A 4,987-nucleotide genomic window follows, 5' to 3' on the forward strand; every position below is an offset into this window, starting at 1 on the left:
CTACTCCAAACTTTCTTTCTTTCTTTTTTTGAGATGGAGTTTCGCTCTTGTTGCCCAGGCTGGAGTGCAATGGTACAATCTTGGCTCACTGCAACCTCTGCCTTCCGGGTTCAAGCGATTCTCCTGCCTCAGCTTCCCAAGTAGCTGAAATTACAGGCATGTGCCACCACGCCCAGCTTATTTTGTATTTTTAGTCGAGACGGGGTTTCTCCATGTTGGTCAGGCTAGTCTCGAACTCCCAACCTCAGGTGATCCGCCCGCCTCGGCCTCCCTAAGTGCTGGGATTACAGGCGTGAGCCACCGCACCCAGCCCAAACTTTCTGTCAAAGGAACCATCTTTCCTTACAGATCCATACCAAATCTCTCCATATATCTCAAAGTCAGTCACAGTTTATATAGCATTATGACAGAGGTTTAATGCATTTGATGGTATCTGAAGATAAAAAAATCCTCCAGGGTTTATATTTGTTTACCATATGTTTATCATATATATTCCTTATTTACTTGTTTATCATACATATTTACCACAGGGAACTTCCCATACTGCAGGTACTCAATACATTGTTTCAGAATTCAGTTCCACAGAGTGATTTCTGTCAACAGAGATCAAGTCTTATGAAAGATGACTAACGCCATCTCGAGGAATGTGGTAATATCTCTATATCCCTTTCAATTAAAACGAATGCAATAATTTTTAAAATCAAACTGCACCCACTAGCATGGCACTGTCTGATTCCCTCTGCCAGATGCTCTTCCAATGCCAGTAAAAGGGGAATACCAGTGTCGGGTATCATTTCCAGCAATACAGAACTCTCTGGATTTGCTAGTCACTAACTTGGGCTTGCTGATCTGTCCTGTAAATATTATATTGTGATAAACCTCTTTCTTCCATCCAGTATCTCTCTAAAAAGAGGCAACATTTCTCTAAGGTTGCAGTAGAGGGATAAAGAGGTACATAGGAAGGCAGGTATAAACTTACCTGGTTTAAATGGAAATGTAACCCCATCACCAGAACTATCTGTGGAGCCTGAATTAGCATCTATTCCTTCACCCTCAGAAACACTCTCAGCACCATTACGTACTGGCTCAGCTTCTTCTCCATTTTCTTCCACAGCTTTCACTTTTTTTAGGTCAGAGGGGTCTCTTTCAGGATGAAACCCCTGGCTCATTTTATCTTGTTCAGATTCAAGTACTTTGTCAATGGAAAGCTCCTCTTCAGCTTTAAGCTAAATAATAAATGAACAAAGAGGTTACATTTTTTTCCACGGGTGTAAATATACATAAAAACCTACATCTACTCCCTTCAAAAAGCAAAGGAAAACATGTCATTCAAGGTAAGAATGTCTGTGTTCAGCATGTGGTATTAGAATGCTGAGTTTAAAAAAAATACTTTTCTCATTTCAGCACCTAGGAAAAGGAAGACCATTCAAATGGCTGCTGAAATGCTTTAACATGAGACTAATAATATCCAAATATACCAAAGGTTAGAATGGAAAGAACTGTTAATCCATGGAACTTTATGAACATGAAAGAGTCCTAGTCAGAATCTAAAACAAGCACTACACTACCCTTGCCATTAAAGCTCAACAAATATAAAAAGAAACACTGGAGGGTATTTTTTACACTGTCTTCTGGCTGTGAAATTGACAGTCTGGAGAATAGCTTAAAACATCTAAGTCCTATAAAACTGATCATATCTCATTTTACAAAAAGGCCACTTGCTAGTTAAAATCTATTTTGTTATTCGTTCTTAGACTTCTCTGAGGCTGTGACCATATAGAAAAATCTTGTATATAAAAAAAAAAAAAGAGAGAGAGAGAAAAAAAAAAGAGAAATCTGGGTTATGGAGTATCACACCTATTTTCAGAAGGCGAAAAAGAATTGAAGTTATTCCCTAGATTATTTTTGACCATCTTAGCGTCAGATATCAAACACAAATGGCTCTGTAAAGGCCTCATGAATCTTCAAAACTCCTTGAGGCAAAGTTCTCTGTGAACTCTTTTCACGATGGGTATGCACTCTGAAAACAATCCTCTGAAACAACTACTCAGAGGTGTTCTAATTGATAAATTCACACGAGGAGAAGAGCCAAAAACTGGAGCTGGTTCAGCAGAGGATAGTGTAAAGTAGTGTCATATATAGCAGAAAAAAGTTCACCCCAAATAATCTATGAAATTATGTTTAAAACAATTTTTGAGTGACAAATACTTCTTTGTTAGATAGTATTAAAACAGATATAATACTAGTAAATTTTCTTTTACCATATAACAGATCATGGTTGAAAAGCCAATAAATTGTTTAATGTTATCAACAGAAACAGATGGTTTTTAGACTCTGTTTCTAATAATGGAAATAAAAAGTTCATGCAAATATGCACAAACACCACCCCACACCTATTCCCCCGACTAATTCATGGAAAAAGATAGTATATAAAAACCCTCAAAAGACAGACAGACATAATATTCCAAAAAAATAAGTTTGGAAACAATTTATTTTATAAAGCATGGCAGAAAGTAGGTATCATTTAAACATTGAAAAAACCAGATCTACCAAATTTGAATCATGAATCAGCAGCCTCATTTTTAAAAATTTTAGACTCTACTATAGTCTAATTATAATAATCTTATAATACCATCTCATAATTAAGTACAGGTCATCAAGAAGACATTTAATAATCTGAGATATCAGTATGTAAATGGTATTTAAACTTATTAAAGAGCAACATAACCAAATTATACAATTATACAGAATTCTTATTTCAGATCTTATAAAATGTGAAACTTTTTTTTAGAGAATACAGTGCATCCTCTTCTCTGTACCTACAATCAACAACAGTCTATCATATATAAACAGAGGCTGTATTACTTAGAAATTTAATTTCTAACTGGAAAAAGAAGTATAAAGAAACTAGTTCTATGAATAACAAACCATAATTCAGAGAACACAGAATCACTGAATTATCTGAGGTGTATTACTATGAGGGGTATTTGAAGAGAATAACAAAAATAGCTTAATTAAATATTTATGGGTTTTTTTTAAAGCAGGATAAAATCCTAGTCAACTAGTCTGTACAGTTCCTAAATTGTTTATGCAGAAACAGATTTAAGAAAGAGATGACTTCATTGGCTGGACAGCCAAAGGTAAACCTTTTATAGGAATCTGTTAAGAATTCACTTGACAGAACTCTGTGCTTAATGCAATGTTTTTTAAAAGTGCTAGAAAATCAGACTGGCAACTATGTATATAATAATTGATGAAATGCTCTAAAATTTTAAAACTTATTTTAAGATACTTTGCCAAGCAATTTTAATATGAAATCATCCTTCATCCTTACTTTTCTAGGCTATAATTTTTTTTTTTTTTTTGAGACGGAGTCTTGCTCTGTCACCCAGGCTGGAGTCAGTGGCGCGATCTCGGCTCACTGCAATCTCCGCCTCCCAGGTTCAAGCGATTCTCCTGCCTCAGCCTCCTGAGTAGCTGGGATTACAGGCGCACACTACTACGCCTGGCTAATTTTTGTATTTTTAGTAGAGACAGGGTTTCACCATGTTGGTCAGGCTGGTCTCAAACTTCTGGCCTCGTGATCTGCCCTTCTTGGCCTCCCAAAGTGCTGTGATTACAGGCGTAAGCCACCATGCCCAGCCTCTAGACTATAATTTTGATAAATATCTTTAATAATGCAACAACCTAATATGTAACCCAAATAAGCTGATACCAGAAACAAATTATTTTAAAAGCTGACAAAATAAATCTAAGAAAGGGGGAGCCTGATTAGTGGAAATGAAGACAATGGCATCCAGTATTTACTACACTATGCCAACAAAAGCTCAGTTTTAGGAAAGACAGAAAAAAGGATTTCTGAAAGAAGTCACTATGTAAAAAGCAAATATTTTTTGTCTTGCTTTAGTTTTTAAAAATTTTTTAGGTTATTTTATTTTTTTGAGACAGAGTCTCGTTCTGTTGTCCAGGCTGGAGTGCACTGGCACAATCTTGGCTCATTGCAACCTCCGCCTTCTGGGTTCAAGTGATTCTCCTGTCTCAGCTTCCTGAGTAGCTGGGATTATAGGCGCGCGCCACCACGGCCAGCTACTTTTTGTATTTTTAACAGAGATGGGGTTTCGTCATGTTGGCCAGGCTGGTCTCGAAATCCTGGCCTCAAGTGATCCTCCTGCCTCAGCCTACCAAAGTGCTAGAATTATAGGCATGAGCCACTGCGCCCAGCCTTGTCTTAAACTATAAAGTTAAGAAAAAGTGATTGGTTCAAAATAAGTCAAAACAGTTCTTGTGTTTCAAGAGTAACAAGCTAAAGAAGCTTTATAGCAAACTCTGGCCCGAGGGCCAATTCTGGCTCACCGCCTGCTTTTGCACAGCATACAAGGTAAGGATGATATTTATATTTGTAATATCTGAAAAAATCTGGAAAAATATTTCCTGGCATACAAATTCACATTTCAATGTCCACCAATAAAGTTTTGTGAAGATACAACCTTGCTTCTTTCATTTACACATTGTTGATGGCTGCTTTTAAGCTACAGCGGCAAATTTGAGGAATTGTGACAGCCTAAAATATTTACTATCTGGACCTTTACACAAAAAGTTTGGTGAACCTCAAGCTGAAGATTAGGATGAATATTTGAAGGCAATGGAGGAGTGGCCTATATAATATTCAATAATGCTTAGAAATCCAACATGAAGTATAACAGAAGAAAAATAACAAAAAAACCAGCTGAATCTAAAAAGAAAGAAGTTAATGAAGCTCTTAACAGCCACAGCAGGAATGTATGTGATTCCCATGCCTCTGGAAGGTATTTTATTCTCTGTAGGAGGAACATTTTCAGGTTCAGCTGCAAAAGGAGTGCAATGACTATTTGCACCTCTATACCTTACTGCCAAGTTTTACACCCTAATAACCACAATGAAATCACAACGATCAACATTTTAGTGGTTGCTATGGGACTAACAGTGACATCAACACAGCATCATGTAA

At 36.7% G+C, this 4,987-nt stretch overlaps 1 protein-coding gene across 62 annotated transcripts in view; it reads right to left on the reverse strand.

Annotated features, from left to right (window-relative positions):
- Positions 1-4,987, reverse strand: part of EIF4G3 (eukaryotic translation initiation factor 4 gamma 3) — a 370,606-nt gene that overhangs the window by 92,426 nt on the left and 273,193 nt on the right. For all 62 annotated transcript variants that reach the window (XM_047433321.1, XM_047433366.1, XM_047433324.1 and 59 more), the window contains one exon: positions 980-1,226. In XM_047433321.1, the coding sequence (XP_047289277.1) occupies positions 980-1,226 (247 nt within the window). The remainder of the gene's footprint in view (positions 1-979; positions 1,227-4,987) is intronic.

The sequence above is a fragment of the Homo sapiens genome, chromosome 1 (genome assembly GCF_000001405.40).
Source record: "Homo sapiens chromosome 1, GRCh38.p14 Primary Assembly".
NCBI lineage: Eukaryota > Metazoa > Chordata > Mammalia > Primates > Hominidae > Homo > Homo sapiens.